This window comes from Homo sapiens, chromosome 8 (assembly GCF_000001405.40).
Source record: "Homo sapiens chromosome 8, GRCh38.p14 Primary Assembly".
Taxonomy (NCBI): domain Eukaryota; kingdom Metazoa; phylum Chordata; class Mammalia; order Primates; family Hominidae; genus Homo; species Homo sapiens.
This window is the reverse complement of record NC_000008.11, coordinates 22182836-22200659: the sequence shown is the minus strand read 5'-3', so window position 1 is coordinate 22200659 and position 17824 is coordinate 22182836. Positions and strand designations below refer to the sequence as shown.

General features: G+C 52.0%; 1 protein-coding gene and 1 long non-coding RNA gene across 7 annotated transcripts in view, besides 7 other annotated features; one reads left to right on the top strand and one right to left on the bottom strand.

Moving 5' to 3' along the window:
• The window catches only part of BMP1 (bone morphogenetic protein 1), a 46955-nt gene that overhangs the window by 11667 nt on the left and 17464 nt on the right, over window positions 1–17824 (bottom strand). For all 4 annotated transcript variants that reach the window (NR_033403.2, NR_033404.2, NM_006129.5 and 1 more), the window contains exons 9-15: window positions 8509–8611; window positions 6486–6602; window positions 6070–6215; window positions 5741–5936; window positions 5073–5198; window positions 3820–3980; window positions 3240–3420 (exon numbers count right to left, since the gene is read on the bottom strand). Coding sequence is in view for 2 of the 4 variants with exons in the window: in NM_006129.5 (NP_006120.1) it covers window positions 3240–3420; window positions 3820–3980; window positions 5073–5198; window positions 5741–5936; window positions 6070–6215; window positions 6486–6602; window positions 8509–8611 (1030 nt within the window). In the remaining 2 variants the exon portion in view is untranslated. The remainder of the gene's footprint in view (window positions 1–3239; window positions 3421–3819; window positions 3981–5072; window positions 5199–5740; window positions 5937–6069; window positions 6216–6485; window positions 6603–8508; window positions 8612–17824) is intronic.
• Window positions 2887–3654: an enhancer, noted in NCBI's record as "H3K4me1 hESC enhancer chr8:22054519-22055286 (GRCh37/hg19 assembly coordinates)". NCBI's record gives its function as "activates a minimal SCP1, AML or CMV promoter by ChIP-STARR-seq in naive H9 embryonic stem cells {active_cell/tissue: H9 hESC(naive)}" and the evidence as "EXISTENCE:reporter gene assay evidence [ECO:0000049][PMID:30033119]".
• Window positions 4910–6109: an enhancer, noted in NCBI's record as "BRD4-independent group 4 enhancer chr8:22052064-22053263 (GRCh37/hg19 assembly coordinates)". NCBI's record gives its function as "activates an origin of replication core promoter dependent on BRD2, P300/CBP, MED14 and CDK7 cofactors, and independent of BRD4, by STARR-seq in HCT116 cells {active_cell/tissue: HCT116}" and the evidence as "EXISTENCE:reporter gene assay evidence [ECO:0000049][PMID:35650434]".
• Window positions 4910–6284: a biological region, named in NCBI's record as "BRD4-independent group 4 enhancer GRCh37_chr8:22052064-22053263".
• Window positions 5990–6284: an enhancer, noted in NCBI's record as "tiled region #2962; HepG2 Activating DNase matched - State 8:EnhW". NCBI's record gives its function as "activates a minimal TATA promoter and a strong SV40 promoter by Sharpr-MPRA in HepG2 cells {active_cell/tissue: HepG2}" and the evidence as "EXISTENCE:reporter gene assay evidence [ECO:0000049][PMID:27701403]".
• Window positions 5990–6284: a silencer, noted in NCBI's record as "tiled region #2962; K562 Repressive non-DNase unmatched - State 10:DNaseD". NCBI's record gives its function as "weakly represses a minimal TATA promoter and a strong SV40 promoter by Sharpr-MPRA in K562 cells {active_cell/tissue: K562}" and the evidence as "EXISTENCE:reporter gene assay evidence [ECO:0000049][PMID:27701403]".
• Window positions 8658–9857: an enhancer, noted in NCBI's record as "BRD4-independent group 4 enhancer chr8:22048316-22049515 (GRCh37/hg19 assembly coordinates)". NCBI's record gives its function as "activates an origin of replication core promoter dependent on BRD2, P300/CBP, MED14 and CDK7 cofactors, and independent of BRD4, by STARR-seq in HCT116 cells {active_cell/tissue: HCT116}" and the evidence as "EXISTENCE:reporter gene assay evidence [ECO:0000049][PMID:35650434]".
• Window positions 9065–12884, top strand: LOC124901904 (uncharacterized). 3 transcript variants are annotated; one of them, XR_007060850.1, is made up of 3 exons: window positions 9085–9574; window positions 11241–11363; window positions 11807–12357. It is a non-coding gene; the product is annotated as an uncharacterized LOC124901904 (long non-coding RNA). The 3 variants fall into 3 exon arrangements; XR_007060849.1 differs by lacking the exon at window positions 11241–11363 and having other exon boundaries at window positions 9065–9574; window positions 11807–12884; XR_007060848.1 differs by having other exon boundaries at window positions 9430–9574; window positions 11241–12884.
• Window positions 11508–12008: an enhancer, noted in NCBI's record as "H3K4me1 hESC enhancer chr8:22046165-22046665 (GRCh37/hg19 assembly coordinates)". NCBI's record gives its function as "activates a minimal SCP1, AML or CMV promoter by ChIP-STARR-seq in naive H9 embryonic stem cells {active_cell/tissue: H9 hESC(naive)}" and the evidence as "EXISTENCE:reporter gene assay evidence [ECO:0000049][PMID:30033119]".

Genomic DNA, 17824 nt, shown 5'->3' with positions numbered 1-17824 from the left:
CGTCACCCAAATGTGGCAACACAGGTGCTGGTCCACAGGCACACACATACATGTGCACACGGTACACACTACCCACACACGCACAGACACACAGCTCCAATCTCCAATACACCATGCAAATGCAGATACAGACACAGCCAACCACATACGCATCCTCACTTGCCCGCCCAGCCTGTGTACAGGTGCATACAAAGAATACACACTCTGCATTCCCACCTATGTGTGAAGAGGCAGGCACAGATATCAACGCACACACAGGCACAGACACACCCAGGGACAGGACACATCTGCACACACAGGCGCATGGACACCTGGACATGGATACAAAGTCACGCGTAAAGGCAGAGATGTAGCTCATCAGCAGATGGCTCACAGAGGAGCAACGGCCACGTGTCACAGACCCACACATGCACTCACACGATGAACACACAATCTGTGCCCCAATGCACAGAAGTGCACTTGGTCACAGGGGTGTGTGTGCCGCAGCCACATACACTCAGGTCTGTCTGTGGTCACTTGGAGGATGGTGTGCCTGGCATAGAAGCAGGCATAGCCAGGGAAGATGAGGGATCCAGTGGACCCCCAGAATTCCATAGATGAACCATGAGGTAGAAAGATGTCTGCTGGCACTGAGCTGGCCAGGTGGGGGTCTGTGCAAGGGGGCCTATTCCTGATCCCCATCAGGACTGGGGCCCAAGCGCTGGAACATGGGCTTCCAGAAGGTCCTGCTTCTCCAACCCAGGATCAGGTAGGTTAGACCCCTAGGGGCCATGGGAACCAGGCCAAGAGGTGGAGTCCCCAAGTCCTTCCCAAGGTTTCTTGCTCAGTTAACACATCAGAGGGGGCCTGATCGAGAGCCCTCCATGAGCTGCCTTTGAATCAGCCCTGCAGAAAATGTGGGGGTGAAGGGCACCCTATGAGCCATCCTGGGGTTCACTAAGGACAACATCTCCAGTGACTGTGCTAGAAGCTTTGGGGGGCCCAGCTTACGGACTGAGCAAAGCCTTCGCTCCACCCCTTCCTCACATTTGTGCCCTAGAAACCTAGTCCAGTGCCTGGTACACAGCAGGGGTAAAATTACACCTGCCAAATGCGAGTGAACGCGTAAGTGAATGGCTGGATGAATGAGTGGGGGAAAGTGAGTCCTGAGGAAGGCTGCTTCAGTGTCCGGGGCAGGAGTGGGCAGCCTCACCTGGGAGCTGGGGGGAGCAGGTTGCAGGGGGGTGGGGTGGAGGAGGTGGGCATGGGCCCAGGCAAGGAGATGGCACTCACCCTACAGTGCCCAAATGCCCCGGAAGGTGGCAGGGGTCAGACTGAAGGTCTTCAGGCTCTTTCTTCTCCTTCTTGGCTTAGGGTCTCCTCGGTGGGTGTCCCAAAAGTCCAAATAGCTCCCCTCCTGGGGGGCCAGAGTCAGATGCCCCGGGCCCTGAGGGCTGAGCCTCGATGCCCCCAGTGGGGGTCCTCTGCAGGTTTCTTGTGCGATGGGGCAATGTGTGTGCACATGTGTGTGCGTGTGGGCGTGTGTGTCTCCGTGCAGGGCTGAGGGTGGGGCGGGCACAGTGTCGACCAGGGCATGGGGGCAGAGCAGTAACTCCAGGCCTGATAGATGTGAGTGTCGGTCCCCTGCCCCCTCCAAGACTGGAGCAACAGAAGGGCAGGAAGAGACGAGAGTAAGCAGGTAATGGTTTCCCGGGGCAGAGCCTGCCCCGAGTGGGTGTTACATCCTCTCAACCCTCTGGTGAGCACCTCTTAGGAGTCCCAGGTGGGCACAGGGAAGGAAGAAATTGGCCTGGCATGGGGAGGGTCTCAGCAAGCGGGGGTTGGGGGCAGGAGGTCAACGGGCCACTGTAAGCAGAGCAGGGTGGCTGGCAGTGCCAAGCAGGGAGCCAGTGCAGGGGCAGGTGCATGGCATCCGGGGGTCAGGCAGGGGTGCAGGGCAGCCACAGAGGGGGCTTGAGGATGCAGGACCCTGGGCGAAGGAGGGGAGAAGGAAGGCAGCATGGACTCGGCCGTGGGCATCCTGCCTTCCTGCCTATCCCCTGTCCGGCCCAGCAGGCAGGCCGGGAGTGAGGATCCATGGGCCTGCTCCAGCCAGACTCTGACCTCCCTGTCTCCCCTGCTCAACTCCACTCCTGCCCTTCACTGCATGGGCCTGGGTCCTGTTACCTCTGGAGACCACCAGCTACCTTACAGCCTCACCCCAGGGTGAAGGGCTGAGTGATTCACAAAGAAGGGGAGATCTCCTGGACCCGGAGGATCAGCTGAGAGAGGCTGGGCCAGGGGCTGCTGATCACCATTGAGACCACCTGAAGATGGGGCCATCAAAGGCTCAAATGAGGCCAAGGGACTGGAGCCCAGGCCTTAGGTGGGGCAGCTGTCAATCAGCATGTGCTAATTGGATCTGAGTTCCCGCCCACCGGTTCAGGGGAGCCCCAAGGCTTTGGTATTGAAGGAAGCAGGTGACTCATCTTTCTCCTTTTTAAAAAAATTTTTAGAAACAGGGTCTGGAGTGAGTGACGAGATCATCGTTCACTACAGCCTCAAACTCCTGGGCTCAAGCAATCCTCCTACCTCAGCCTCCTAAGTAGTTGAGACTACAGGCACACACGACTACACCCTGCTAATTTTAAACTTTTTTATAGAGATGGGGTCTCGCTATGTTGTCTAGGCTGGTCTTGAACTCCTGGGCTCAAGTGATCCTCCTGCCTCGGCCTTCCTGAGTGCTGGGATTACAGGCGTGAGCCACCGCGCCCGGCCACGACTCATCTTTCTGAAGGCCCCAGTGTGAACCTATTTGGCGTGTGCAGGGTCTGATTAGAAGTCCGCCACTGCCAGAGACTCTGCTCCACACAGTCCAAGGCAAACACCTGTCTCTCCTCCATCCACCCACGTTCTTGAACTGCCTGTTCCTAGGACCTGCCCTCTCCCAGGCCTTGGCTTGCATAGCTCCTGACACCTGGAATATCCCCTTCTTCACTTCTGGGTGCTGATTTCTGAATGCTTATGTTCTGCCCATCCTCAGGCCCCAGTCATTACAGTCCTGAGGGCTCAGGAATAATGAGATTTGGATACTGGAAGGGCTGGCTTGATGGGAGAGTGAAGTGGTGGGGAGCAGGGGGCAGACTCTGCCTGCCTGGCACCAGGGAGGGCTGGGGAGTACAGGGGTGCAGGGGCAGGGAGAAAGGGAGCCCTGTTCTCCGAGGAGAGGTGGGGCTAGGAGCTGGGCAGTCCAGGGATACCTGAGAAGAAGTGGGCCTTGAAGCCCTTTTTGGACACGGTGTTGTCGGACTTGAACTCCACGCGCATGTTGTTGTACTGGGAGGTGATGACCTCGGGCTTCTCAGAACCACAGAACTTGCCATGCAGCTTGGAGTCAGCTGTGAGTCCACTGCGCACCTCCACGAAGTCGTACTTGCACACCTGCAGGGAAGCCCAGCTCCAGGCCCGCCTCCTCCAGGAAGCCTCTCTTGACTACTCCTGCCCTCGGGAAGCTCTCTGTTCTGCACATCCTTTAGCCTTGACTTAGCTACGCCCCCTCACTGGATCCTCCTGTACTCGCCAAGCCAGCCCTAAGCCTTCCCTTGCTCCACACGCCTCCCTAACTCCATGTCCTTCCTCCCACTTGCTACATGTCCCCCCGCCCCCTTTGGGGCCCTCCCTGCTGGGCCTCCTGTGCTTCGTGAGCTGGGAGCAGTCTCTCCTCGATATTTGCAGAGTGTTTCTGCCGGGCCCCCTCTCAGAGGACAGGAAGCAGGCACTGAGCTGAATGCCCACGCCTCACAGCTTCCTGCCCCACCTCAGCCCCTGGTGGGCACTTACATCATTGCCCTCTGTCTCAAAGAAGTCAAACTGCAGGGAGATGCGGTACTGGGTGGGGGCCACCAGCTGCCAGATGCAGTTCTTGTTGGGGGGGTACTCCTTGGGCCAGCCCGGGCTGGTGATGGAGCCGTTGAGCTTGGTGAGGAATCCGCCACAAGCAGCTGCGGGGACAAGGAAGGTGGCATCGTCTGCGGGGAGCCCCTGCCATGGGGAAGGGCTGAGATGTGGGCTGGGATGCAGTAAGGAGAAGATGGGGAGCCTGTGGACTCCCCAAGGCTCAGGGACCTGTGTCTGGTCCCTCTGGGGCGGACGGGAGGAGGCAGGGTGGCCTGGGTGTCCTCAGGGGTGGGCCTGTAGGGAGGAGTGGGGGAGCTAAGGGGTCATAAGTGTGGCCATTTCTATCTTCTCTGCAAATGAACAGGCCAAGGTCCTCCAAGAGGGAGTGAGCGGGAATAAGGGGCTCAGGGAAAGCAGTTCAGGGAGGGGCGGTCCTGGGAGGTGCAGGAAAGGGAGCAGCTCGGGGGCACAGCAGGATCGGCCTAGTGAGCTGGAGCCATTAGCCTCGGAGTGCTGTCCCCAGCATCTCGGGACCATGCGTGGAGAGGCGGAAACAGTGTCTGTCCCACAACAGGGGTTTCCCAACCTGTAGATCATAACACCCTGGTGGGTGGTGATATCAGTTAGCAAGTCAAGATGGTCATTTACAAAAAAAACCCGAAAACACCCCAAGAATGAAAAAACAAAACAAACCCAAAGCCAGAATGCGGCCTACGGGGGGACAGTGTGTTCTCGGGGTTGCAATGTGACATGTGTTTCTTATCCATGAGCTATGAAAAGAGTGTTGGGGTATCCATCTAGCTTTTCCAAGAAGGGGTCTGTCCAAGGGCATAAGAAATCTTGGCAGTGACTCAAGCCTGTGATCCCAGCACTTTGGGAGGCCGAGGCAGGAGGAGTACTTGAGGCCAGGAGTTTGAGACAAGCCTCGGCAACAAAGTAAGACCTCATTGCTACAAAAAAAATTTTAAAATTAGCCAGGCAAGGTGATGTGCACCTGTAGTCCCAGCTACTTGGGAGGCTGAGGTGGGAGGATTGCTTGAGCCCAGGAATGGGAGGCTATGGTGAGCTAAGATTGAGCCACTGTACTTCCAGCCTGGGTGACAGAGCAAAAGCCTGTCTAAAAAAAAAAAAAATTCTGGGCAGGTGGGCTGGTGCCAGGGAAAGAACAGGGTCAGAGGCAGTCTGGGGGCACTCACCCTCACAGCGGCGCTTGTCTGGGGCCAGCTCGTACCCGGGGTCACAGCTGCACTTGTAGCTGCCCAGGGTGTTGAGGCACCGCTGCTCACAGCCCCCGCGGTTGGGCCGAGAGCACTCGTCCACCTCTGTGGTGGGAAGGAAAGGGTGTCACAGACTCCAGGCATTCAAGGGAAGAAGCTGGCTGTGAGCCTCACTTGTCCACTCAGCCCCAAGACCCACCCAGCTCCCCGATGGCTGGAACCCCACAGAGCCTTCCTTCAGAGCACATGGACTGGGCTGGTGTCTCTCACGTGCTGTTCCCTGACTAAGGACCCCTCTTTCATTTCTCCTTCAATCCTCATGTGAAGCCTGTGGCGGAGGGACTGTTACTGTGCCCATTTTACAGATGAGAAACTGAGGTTCAGGGAGAATATCCTGCCCAAGGTCACACAGGTAAAAAAAACCTCCAACTGCCTTTTTTCCTCCCTGAATCATACAGCAGGTCCTGCCTCTAATCCACATTGGGGGACCTCTTCTCCCCAGCTAGCCCAGAGCTCCTTAAGGGCACAGCCCTGGGGTCTCACTGGTATCAATATGCCTCCTGGAGTCTCCGTGTTGAATGAGTGAGTGAAGAAGGGATGAAGGTCACGAGGCACCTTGGGGCAGGGGAGAGTAACAGAGGAGGCACCTTTGAAAAAGTTGACGGCAAAGCCCGCTTTGTTAATGGACCCGTCAGAGACGAACTTGAGCCAGAGGCGGCTGGACGTGCTCTTGATGTCATCAGGCTTCTCATAGCCACAGTAGCGCCCGATGAGGGTGCTGCTCTCACTGTGCCCGTCGCGCACCTCCAGATAGTCGTAGGCACAGCTGTCGTGGCGCTCAATCTAGGGGTCGAGGCTTCATCAGTGGAAGGGGCTCTGGCTGCCAGAGACCCACCCCTGGGAGCCCAAAGAGAGGCAGCTGTCCCAGGGAGCAACTGCTGGATTCAAAGGTCAGATCACAGGGCCACTGACCTACCTCAAAGGACTGGAATGTGAGGCCCACGTGGAAGCCCTCAGACACCTGGATCCGCCAGATGCAGACTTTGCTGGGCCGGTAATCGTCTGGGTAGTTGGGCGATTGAATGTGGCCATAGTCCTTTTTCACATCACCCCCGCAGATGGCTGTGGGGACACAGGATGGGGTGGGAAGGGGTGGTGAGTCAGCATGCTTTGCCCTGCTAGGGAGCTCTTTTCCCCACTCCTCCAGTCCCTCCCATGTCCCCCAGCTTTTCAGTTCCCCACCAAACCCCCAGTCCCAGGCAATCCCATCATTCTCTCTGCTTCTTCCCTTGGGAACCCACAATCTTGCCCCTCAGGTGCCAGGAGGGAGTTGTTTTACCATGCCCAGAGACCTCCTATCTGACTCCTCCCGCCCGCCGCCTTCCTCAGTACCTTCGTAGACTGCAAAGAAGCCCTTTCCAACCCAATTGCTGCTGCTGCGGAATTCAACCCAGAGGCGGCTGTCAGTGGAGACGATAGGCTCAGGGAGTTTGGACCCGCAGAAGCGGCCTGCACAGACAGTGTGGATGGAAGAGTGGTGAACCCTGAGGACACCCCCTATAGAGGCCCCACCTCTCCAGGAGGCTTGGGTGCTTGGGCCCTGATCTGTGGCCACCCTACTTCACACATTCCCAAGACTGTATACCCTCTGGTTGGCTTCTGTCTGGTCCAAGGTCCAACTTGGCTTTGGAGAGCCAGAGACCACTTGAGGGATAGGATATGAGTCTATTTCTAGGAGGAAAGGTAGATCTTTATTTTTCATTTTATCTTATTTTATTTTTTTGAGATGGAGTCTCGCTCTGTCACCCAGGCTGGAGTGCAGTGGCACGCTCTTGGCTCACTGCAACCTCTGCCTCCTGGGTTCAAGCAATTCTCCTGCCTCAGCCTCCCAAGTAGCCGGGGCTACAGGCATCTGCCACCACACCCAGCTAATTTTCGTATTTTTAGTAGAGATGAGGTTTTGCCATGTTGGCCAGGCTGGTGTCGAACTCCTGACCTCAGGTGATCCACCCACCTTGGCCTCCCAGAGTTCTGGGATTTCAGGTGTGAGCCACCGTGCCTGGCCAAGGTAGATCTTTATAATGTCCAACTATATATGTGTTCTATTTACCTTTCTAAAGAGCATATTACCATCATTATTTACCTTTTCTTATTTGGTCTCTATGCAAAGAAGAGACCAAATAAGAAATAAAATCAGAAATATAATCAGAAATAAACATGGCTTTCTTTACACATTACAAACTGCCCTCACAGACATGTTTTTATTTGGTCAAATGCAAGGGATGCCCCAGGACCCTAAATAAATCACAGAATCTGGGGACTAGCTCACAAAATGTCCACTTTGAAATAAAAATGAATAAGAATCAACATAAGTGAATGAGGTCGGCCATCTGTGGAATTCTTTGTAGTCAAGAATCAACTAGGAATGAGTTGTGTGTTCCTAATAAGGCCGGTGTTTCCCAACATTCAGCAAGGGACAGAGGGTGCTGGCCCAGGAATGTAAGTTATGAAAAAGAAACTCCCATCTTGGAAAAACACTAACACGTCTACGAGAGGAAGTGTTGTAAGGACAGCTGCTTTGAGTGACCAAAAAGAAATATTTAAATATCGGAAACTGGGGGGAAAATAGAGGTTAGCAATATCCGTCTGGCTGTTTTAGGCATAGGCTGAGGAGAAGAGGTTCTGTTGCCAAAGAGTGGTCCTGAGCTCCTTACGATCACGTCCAGCTAGGAGGAGATTCACACGGCTCCTCGGGCTTGCTGCAATACCCTCTAGGATCACCTGCCTCCCTTTGCCCTAATTCTAGGTTCATTAAAGCACCTTCTGTTCTGTGCTTCTGACCCACTTACTCCCACTGACTCACCTCCTGCCCCCTACCCTCCTCGGGACAAAGTATCCTATGCAGACAAGGTCGGGCCACGGCGCCCAGTGTGCAGCCCTCGGCAGTGAGTTAGGAGATGGGCTGGCAGGTTATGATGACTCTCTTTTGAGCCAGGCTGCACTGTGGGCACTCAAAAACCAGAAGGGCAGATAGAAAAAAATAGTGGATCCTCTGAAAGTGCCCAGATGAGGAAGAGAGCCTGGGGCCATGGGGATGCGCAGAACAGCCTGTCTGTCTCTCTCAGTCAATTCTGATGACTCCTTGCACCCGTAGGGTGACAGCCAACTTCACAGGGAGGCCCAGAAGTCTGGACTGGGTACTCTGAAGTCCAGATTGAGGACAGGACTTGCCTGAAGTCTCGCAGCAAGTGAGTAATGCAGCTATCTGGGACTAATGATGCCAGGACTCCTGGCTCCCATACCAGGTTGTCATCCCTGGCCAGTGTTGGGCCCTGGAGGGGGATGAAGAGTGTGATGAGGGTGGCTCAGAGAGGGAATCAGCATGGAGGGGGCAGGGGGTGGCTGGTGCCGTTACCTCGGAGGGGCGCCTTCCTCCAGAAGCCATCTCGGACCTCCACATAGTCGTACCAGCACAGGCGGCTGCGGTACAGGTCCAGGGACGTGAAGTTCAGGATGATCTAGGGCAACAGGGGAGGAAGAGGGTTAAGCTGTCCCGAACATTGCACCAGCCCTCTGCCAGCCCCATGATGACCACCGCCCGCCTTACGCGAGGCAGGTCCCCCTGGGCGAGAGTTAAGGGGCTCCCAAAAGGAGCTCCTGGCACAGAACCGCCCCTCCTCCACAGTTGTCTGTGTATGGTCAGCTTTCTTCCTAGAAGGCCCAGGAGGGGAAGGAGACGTCACTTTGGGTAGAACCCCTGGCTCCAGCTCTCTTCATAGTCAATTAGATAACACAACCCACAATATCTTCAAGAGGAACTGGTCTCTACAGTGGTAGGAAGGGCCAAGGGCCGCGTGAGGGTACTGGAGGGTCTGAAGTAGCGACGAAGGGTCCCAAGAGGAGAGGCAAGAGGAAAGAAGGGCTGAGTCGCCAATCATCACTTTTTTGTTTGTTTGTTTGTTTTGAGTCAGGGTCTTGCTTTGTCACCCAGGCTGGAGTGCAATGGTACAATCACAGCTCACTGCAGCCTCCACCTCCCAGGCTTAAGCCATCCTCCGATCTGAGCCTCCCAAAGTGCTGGGATTACAGGAGTGCGTCACTGTGCCCGGCCCCATCATCATTTATTGAGTACTGATTCTGGGCAGGGGGACACACTAACTGCTGAAAGGACACCAGATCTGAATCCGTCCCTGTCCTCAAGAAGCTCCAGGCTTAGGGAGGGATGAGACATACGCGTGAGAAAGCTCAGACCCCAGTCACAACAGCCTGGGTGTGAATCTCCACTCTGCATTTCCTGCTGTGAGTCATCAAGCAAACCACGCAACCTCTGAGCCTCTGCTATGTCCTGCGTGCAATGGGGAGAAGAGTCCCTACCCTGACATCACACTTCCAAGGCACAGGCACTGTCTGTCCTGAGCACCTCATTTCAGGCTCCAAGCTCAGGAAACGCTCGCTCGCTACTGGAGGAATGTTACATCTTGGTAAGTACCAATCCTCCTTAGCAGGTGGGCATTTTAACAGGTAGAGAGTTTAATGGCTTCCCTCCACTTCCGGGGGGAAACCACTTCCTCGGTAGGTCCCAGAGTGGGCCCAAAGCCTGCTGTGTATTCAGAGTTCCAACAAGTAGGGATTCCAGGGATGTGTTCACCGTGACCTGCGAGGCCAGTGCAGCGGACACTCGATGGTTTCAGGGGTGTCCTGCTCTGGGAGAGCTGGGTTCTCTGCTAGAGAAGGGGACCGTCTGCCTCCCTTGTACCTTCTTAGAGAGTTAGAGGCAGAGTGGAGGCCAGGATGAAAAAGATTCCAAGGTGGGCACTGGCAGTGGCTGTCTGTAGCCAGCATCAATGCTAGTCGGGGAGGAGCTCCTGGCTCCTGGTCACTCTGACACGGGCCCTATCAGAATACCTGGTGATTCCAATGTCCGCCTAGAGGACCCTTCCCACTTCTTGGCCGCTCAGTTCTGCGACCTCCTCTCTCCACCTCTCTATACCTTCCCGGCCACACACCAACACGTCACGCCGTGCAGGCCGGCTTCATCGAAAATTGTCTGCCCCTCCATAATCTCAGTTTCAAGGGCCCCACTCTCCATTCAGTTTCCAGCCTTTCCGTCAGTTCTCATCACTGCGACTTTCAACCCACTGCACCCAGGGCAATGCCACTGCCGGTCACCCCCATCTACTCTCTCTCCTTACCCAGCTTAGCTCCACAGCCCATCCTTTTTCTTCTATTCTTTTTAAAAATTCATATATGAGTTTAACTATATTTATTTGGGGGACCTTTTATTAATTGTGGTATTCTGTGATATAATTGAGTAAGATCATGTTTTTGAAAAGCACACTACAGGCCAAGCGCGGTAGTTCACTCCTGTAATCCCAACACATTGGGAGGCCAAGGCAGGTGGATCACTTGAGGTCAGGCGTTCAAGACCAGCCTGGCCAACATGGTGAAACCTCATCTCTACTAAAAATACAAAAAAAAATTAGCCAGGTGTGATGGTGGGCATCTGTAATCCTAGCTACTCAGGAGGCTGAGGCAGGAGAATCGCTTGAACCTGGGAGGCAGAGGTTGCAGTGAGCCTAGATCATGCCACTGCACTCCAGCCTGGGTGACAGAGGAAGACTCTGTCTCGAAAAAAATATAAAATAAAATAAAGAAAAGCACACTATATATTACTCTTGGTTATTATTATCATCATCAAAAGTTATTGTTACTATTATAAGTCCTGGCATTTTGAAACTCTGAAGATGCAAGTCCATTCTAGCTCTTGCGAGGGAGTAGATGGCATCTCATTACCAAATGTGGACCAGGCATGGTAGCTCATACCTGTAACTGAGCATTTTGAGAGGCTGAGGCAAGAGGATCGCTTGAGTCCAGGAGTTTGAGACCAGCCTGGGCAACACAGTGAGACCCCCATCTCTAGAAAAATTAAAAAATTAGCCAGCTATGGTGGCATGTGTCTGTAGTTCCAGCTACCAGGAAGGCTGAAGTGGGAGGATCCCCAGAGCCTAGGAGGCTGAGGCTTCAGTGAGCCGGGATTGCACTGGCTCACTGAATGGAAATTTGGTTTTATTATTTATATTATATATTATATAATATATAAGATATGTGTGTGTGTGTGTGTGTGTGTGTGTGTATCTCCATCAATAGAGACCTCAGGGGGCAACTGAATAATTAAATTGAGAGAAATCAAGACGATAGTATTCTAAGCAGCCATAAAAATGACTGAGTGCTGGCATGGAACGGCGACCACAATTCATTGCTGAGTGCAAGGTATGTTGCAAAAGACCATATACGTGTGCATACAATTCCTTTTTGTCTTGTATATATATACATACATATATACTCATCCATGCTTACATGCACATATATACCTAGAAGGGTCTGGAAGGAGACACCAGAAAGTGTTACCAATGCTTAGTCACCTCTGAGGAATGGGATCCGGAGGAGGGTCAAGGGGAGAAATTTCACTTGTTATTTTATGCATTGCTAGATTGTTCAAAAAGTTTACTGTGTGCATATGTTATTTGTATATCTAACAAACAACAAAAACAAGAGTTGCTGGGTGGAAGAAGGGATGCAGAGGGCCGAGTGAGGGCGCTCTGGCTCCTGACTCACACCCTCCACCACTCCTCCACGTGGCCTTCCTGGGCCTGCCAGGCAGTTCTGCTCAGCAGCTGTGCTGAGGACAAGCGCCCGCTTTCCTTCATCCTTAGAAGCAGCCTTGGCTCTGTCTGGGGAGGATGACGTCACAGCTGCTGAGGAAGAAACCACGCCCAGCCGGCAGAACCCCAGAGGGCCCACCCGAGAGCTCCAAAGAAGTAGGAGGAACCAGAGGTCACATCGCTCAGGAGGAAGAAACCTGCATTGGCCAAGAGAGGCATCCTACAGAGAGGCCCAGTGATGGCTATACTGAGACCAGAGGTGTCAAATTAAGAGTTGTACTGGCTTCTGTCGTGTGGAAACAGCTGTGCTCTGGTGGCAGGGGCAATGCCCTTTGCCAGAGAAAACCTGGCCTGCCCCACCGCTTCCGGGCTGGTGACTTGGGCCTGTGGCTCGGCTTCCTTAAGGCTCAGTGTTTTTGTCTGAAATTGAGATGGGGCCGGGTGCGGTGGCTTATGCCTGTAATCCCAGCACTTTGGGTGACTGAGGCGGAAGGATCGCTTGAGCTCAGGAGTTTGAGACCAGCCTGAGCAATACAGTGAGACCCCATCTCTACAAAAAAATTTAAAAATTTGCCGGGCATGATGGCGCATGCCAGTGGTCCCAGCTACTCAGGAGATGGAGGTGGGAGGATCACTTGAGCCAGGGAGGTCCAGGCTGGAATAAGCCATGATCACACCACTGGGCAACAGAGCAACTCTGTCTCAGAAAAAAAAAAAAAAAAAAAAACCCAAAACTGGAAATGATCATAATGGCTCCACTGGGGAGTTGGGAGGATTCAATGAGATATGGGGTACAGAGTCTTCTGGTGCACCCCGAATATAGGAAATACTCCTCATGCTTGCTGCATGCTGGCAGGGGAGAAGTAATAGGACACCTCTCTTCTGGCCACAGTGTGCCAGTTAAACATGTTGCCCCTTGGTGACTCACTGTCTGGCTTCAATCTGACCTTGCCGCATGATCTTTAGGCCCATCAACCAGTTCCTCTGTGCCTCCGTGTCCTTATTTCTAAGAGGGTAATGATGATACTATCTGCCTCCCAAGACTTAGGGGAGTTCAATTCATATACGTGTAAAATTTACAAGTGCCCAACACACAGTAAGCACTCAATAAATGTTAACTTTGCTAGTAGAATGAAGTTTGCTTAAGATTTTTTGGTATTTGGAATGGCTCAGACTAGAATCCTGGAATTAGAGAGAAATAGCGTCCCTGGGGAAGTGGACCAGGATTTCCTCATTTAAAAAGATTAGGGGCTGGGGGCCGGGCACGGTGGCTCACACCTGTAATCCCAGCACTTTGGGAGGCTGAGGTGGGCGTATCATGAGGTCAGGAGATCGAGACCATGCTGGCTAACACGGTGAAACCCTGTCTCTACTAAAAATACAAAAAAAAAAAAAAAAAAAAAAAAATTAGCCGGGCGTGGTGGCGGGCTCCTGTAGTCCCAGCTACTGAGGAGGCTGAGGCAGGAGAATGGCTGAACCCGGGAGGCGGAGCTTGCAGTGAGCCGAGATCATGCCACTGCACTCCAGCCTGGGCAACAGAGCGAGACTCCATCTCAAAATAAATAAATAAATAAATTAATTAATTAATTAAAATAAATAAAAGATTAGGGGCTGGCCTGGGCGTGGTGGCTCACGCCTATAATCCCAACACTTTGGGAGGCCCAGGCGGGCAGATCACCTGAGGTCAGGAGTTTGAGACTAGCCTGGCCAACATGGCAAAACCCCATCTTTATTAAAAATATAAAAATTAGCCGGGTGTGGTGGCACGTGCCAGTAGTCCCGGTTACTTGGGAGGCTGAGGCATGAGAATCACTTGAACCCGAGATGCAGAGGTTGCAGTGAGCTGCACTCCAGCCTGGGCAACAGAGTAAGACTCTGTCTCTAAAAAATAAAATAAAATAATTAAATAAAATTAAAAGATTAGGAATATAGGAAAGATAGCAGCAGTTAACATTGGTTGGGTTCTCACTACATGATAGGTACTACTCCAGGGACTTTATGTATATTAATTTGTTTAATCCTCATACCTTTATGAGGAGGAGACGGTTTTAAGAAGGGAATCACGGTTAGCAGATCAAACTTGATAGTATCCCCCTTGTGGTAGGTACTATTGCCAGGCTCATTTTATAGTTGGGGAAACAGGCCAGGCATGGGGGCTCACGCCTGTAATCCCAGCACTTAGGGAGGCTGAGGCAGGATCACCTGAGGTCAGGAGTTCAAGACGAGACTGGCCAACATGGCGAAACCCTGTCTCTACTAAAAATACAAAAATTAGCCAGGCATGGTGGCACGTGCCTATAGTCCCAGCTACTTGGGAGGCTGAGGCAGAAAAATTGCTTGAACCCAGAGGCAGAGGTTGCAGTAAGCCGAGATCATGCCACTGCACTCCAGCCTGGGCAACAGAGTGAGACTCCATCTCAAAAAAATATATATATAGATAGACGGGGAAACAAAGGCACAGAGAGGTTAAGCAACTTCCCCAAGACCACACAGCCAGTACGTGGCACAGCTGCGAGTCAAACTCAGGCACTCTGGCTCTTAAAGTTATACCCTCCTCCAATCCTCCACATGGCCTCCCTGGGCCTGCCAAGCAACTCTGCTCAGCAGCTGTGCTAAGGACAAGTGTCCATTTTCATCCTCAGAGCCCCACACCCTTCAAGAAGCAGGAACTTAGGGTAGGATCCAGCACAGGCTTTGCAGAGAAGGGAGGGATCCCTTTGGCCTGGCTGGGGATGTGGAAGTCGGGGAAGGTATTAAGAATTTGGGTTGGGCCGGGCGTGGTGGCTCACGCCTGTAATCCCAGCACTTTGAGAGGCCCAGGCTGGCGGATCGCCTGAGGTCAGGAGTCCGAGACCAGCCTGGCCAACATGGTGACACCCTGTCTCTACTAAAAATACAAAAATTAGCCGGGCGTGGTGGCAGGCGCCTGTAATCCCAGCTACTGGGGAGGCTGAGGCAGGAGAATCACTTGAACCCGGGAGGCGGAGGTTATATTGAGCCAAGATCGTGTCATTGCACTCCAGCCTGGGGGACAAGAGCAAGACTTCGTCTCAAAAAAAAAAAAAAAAAAAAAAAAGAAAGACAGTGAAACCCTGTCTCTGCTAAAAATACAAAAATTAGCCAGGGGCGATAGCAGGTGCCTGTGATCCCAGCTACTCGGGAGGCTGAGGCAGAAGAATTGCTTGAACTCGGGGGGCAGAGGTCAAGGTGAGCTGAGATCGTGCCACTGCACTCCAGCTTGGGCGACAGAGTGAGACTCAGTCTCAATAAAAAAAGAATTTGGGTTGGACCTTGAAGAACACGTAGCATATCAGGAGGCAGGGATGGGAATGAGGGCGGATATTGCCAGCTCCAAAAGTTCTTATCTTCTTGGCTCCTCTGCAAATGTTTGATCCTCTGACCATGATTCCCTTCTTTTTTTTATTTTTATTTTTATTTTTTCCTTTTTTGAGACTGAGTCTTACTCTGTTGCCCAGGCTGGAATGCAGTGGCACGATCTTGGCTCACTGCAACCTCCACCTCCCGGGTTTGAGCGAGCGATTCTCCTGCCTCAGCCTCCTGAGTAGCTGGGACTACAGGCATGCACCACCATGCCCAGCTAATTTTTGTATTTTTAGTAGAAACAGGGTTTCACCACGTTGGCCAGGCTGGTCTCAAACCCCTGACCTCAAGTGATCCACCCGCCTCGACCTCCCAAAGTGCTGGGATTACAGGCATGAGTCACCGCACCCGGCTGATTCCCTTCTTAAAACCGTCTCCTCCTCATAAAGGTTCTCCTCCGTTGCTGGGGAAACACTGTCAGTCCTCTCCGCGCCAGCTGCTAATTACAAGAGTGTAGACTTGGGGGATCCAAAAAGAAGGCTTTCCAGGTGGCTCTTTTACTTTGACATACCCATGACAGGCAGAATCAATTATATATGGCAAGATTTACCTATCATTCACATTTCTGGCAATAAGCTGAGAATTGGGAGGCAAATGAAAAACAACTTCCCCACAGCCAAAATAGACGGCAAAGTCCATCCACTAAAGCAGGCGGCATTATTTCAGGTTTACCTTTGAAAGGCCATAGACTTTGGAGTCAGAAAGTCCTAGAACCAAATGCCAATTTCACCACTACTACCTGTGTAAACTTGGGTAGATTTACTCAAGCGCTTGAAGCCTCCATTCTCTTGGCTGTACAGTAGGGATAATGGTACCTAGGTTGTAAAAGTGTTATGGGGAATAGCGAGGTCCGGCATGTAAGGTGCCTAATGCTTTCCGTGGTACCTGATTGTTAAACAGTAGAGAGGCTGTTAGTATTCTACTACACCAGGCTCTGCAGGCCCTTTCAATGTTCACGTCCCCAGGGTGCCACTTGGCTTCCCTTACAACTCTCCAATTTCATTCAGGACTGTGGCTGGTTTTTACTTCGTGTACTTCTACAACCATGCGTTGATTAATCTGGAATTTTTATAGTTAGCCCTTTTCTCTTTCTGCAGCTCCAGGCAAGCTTCTGAAAAAAAGGACAGGAGTCCTCTGGGAATTGCAGCGGGAGCAGCCCCAAGGCAGAGAGAGATGCTTTTGGGGCAAGGCCATGTGCGTCCACTAGAGAGACTAGTGCTAGCCCAGGCCAGCCAGGAAGAACAGGGAAGGAAGCTGATCCTAGCCCAATGCCATACCCCAGCCGATTGCAAAAACTCCCGGACAGGAAGGTAAGTAGCGTGCCACCTGACTCCACTGCTCAGGGCCAGGGACCGTCTTGTGCATCTGTACATCCCTGGTGGCTGACCCAGTGCTGGGCACATAGCAGGCACACAGGTTTGCTGAAGAGCACTAAAGTAATTGTTGAAATGCAGCAGGGCTTTAGAACACACATAGTATTGAAATCACCAACTCTTGTGTCATAATCCAATTTTGTGTAATTTTGGAGAAGTTACTAAATTTTTCCAAGCCTGGTTTCTCATATCCAAAACAGGGATAATGTTAGCATCTGGCCCATAGTGTTGCTGTACGATAATGTTGGACATAACACACATAAAGAATTTAACATGGCCAGGCGCGGCGGCTCACGTCTGTAATCCCAGCACTCTGGGAGGCCGAGGCAGGCGAATCACCTCAGGTCGGGAGTTCGAGACCAGCCTGACCAACATGGAGAAACCCGTCTCTACTAAAAATACAAAATTAGCCGGGTGTGGTGGCACATGCCTGTAATCCCAGCTACTCAGGAGGCTGAGGAGGTTGCGGTGAGCTGAGATCGTGCCATTGCACTCCAGCCTGGGCAACAAGAATGAAACACGTCTCAATAATAATAATAATAATAATAATAATAATAATTTAACACATACCTGCTCAATCAAATATTCAATCATTGTTAGTTATTGCTATTATTATCGGTGGGTGAGATTTCCCAAGGATGGAGTAATGGGAACCCTCTAGAGGGAAACAAAGGAAGCCAAGGCATAGCTGGTAGAAAACAGCAAAAAAGGAATGTAATTTTTTGTTGTTGTTTTGAGACAAGATCTCGCTCTGCCCCCCTGGCATGAGTGTAGTGGCGTAATCATAGCTTACTGCAACCTTGAACTCCCAGGCTCAAGCAATCCTCCCACCTCAGCCTCCCGAGTAGCTGGAACTACCAACACCCACCAGACACCCAGCTAATTTTTAAAATTTTTTGTAGAGATGGAGTTCCGCTATGTTAGCCAGGCTGGTCTCAAACTCCTGGCCTCAAGTGATCCTCCTGCCTCAGCTTCCCAAAGTGTTGGGATTACAGGCATGGGCCATATACTGGCCAGAACTGCCATTTTTTAAGTGAGATTCAGAACAAGGAAGAATGGGTTCACTTTTAAGGGAAGATGGTAGAATATCAACCAAGAGAGAAGCCAGAATTACTCAACTCTCAATAAAAATCTGTCCACGTAAGAATGATCTTCAAATTACAACAAATGAAAATAAGCATTGTTTGAAAAGGAAATAGAAGCTCAATAACATAGAAGGAGGAGAGCCCATGAGCACCTCTCTACATTGGTTTTTGTCTCCAAGCTCATCAATTAAATCAGAGGAGACACTCAAATAATTTGCAGATGTGATTAG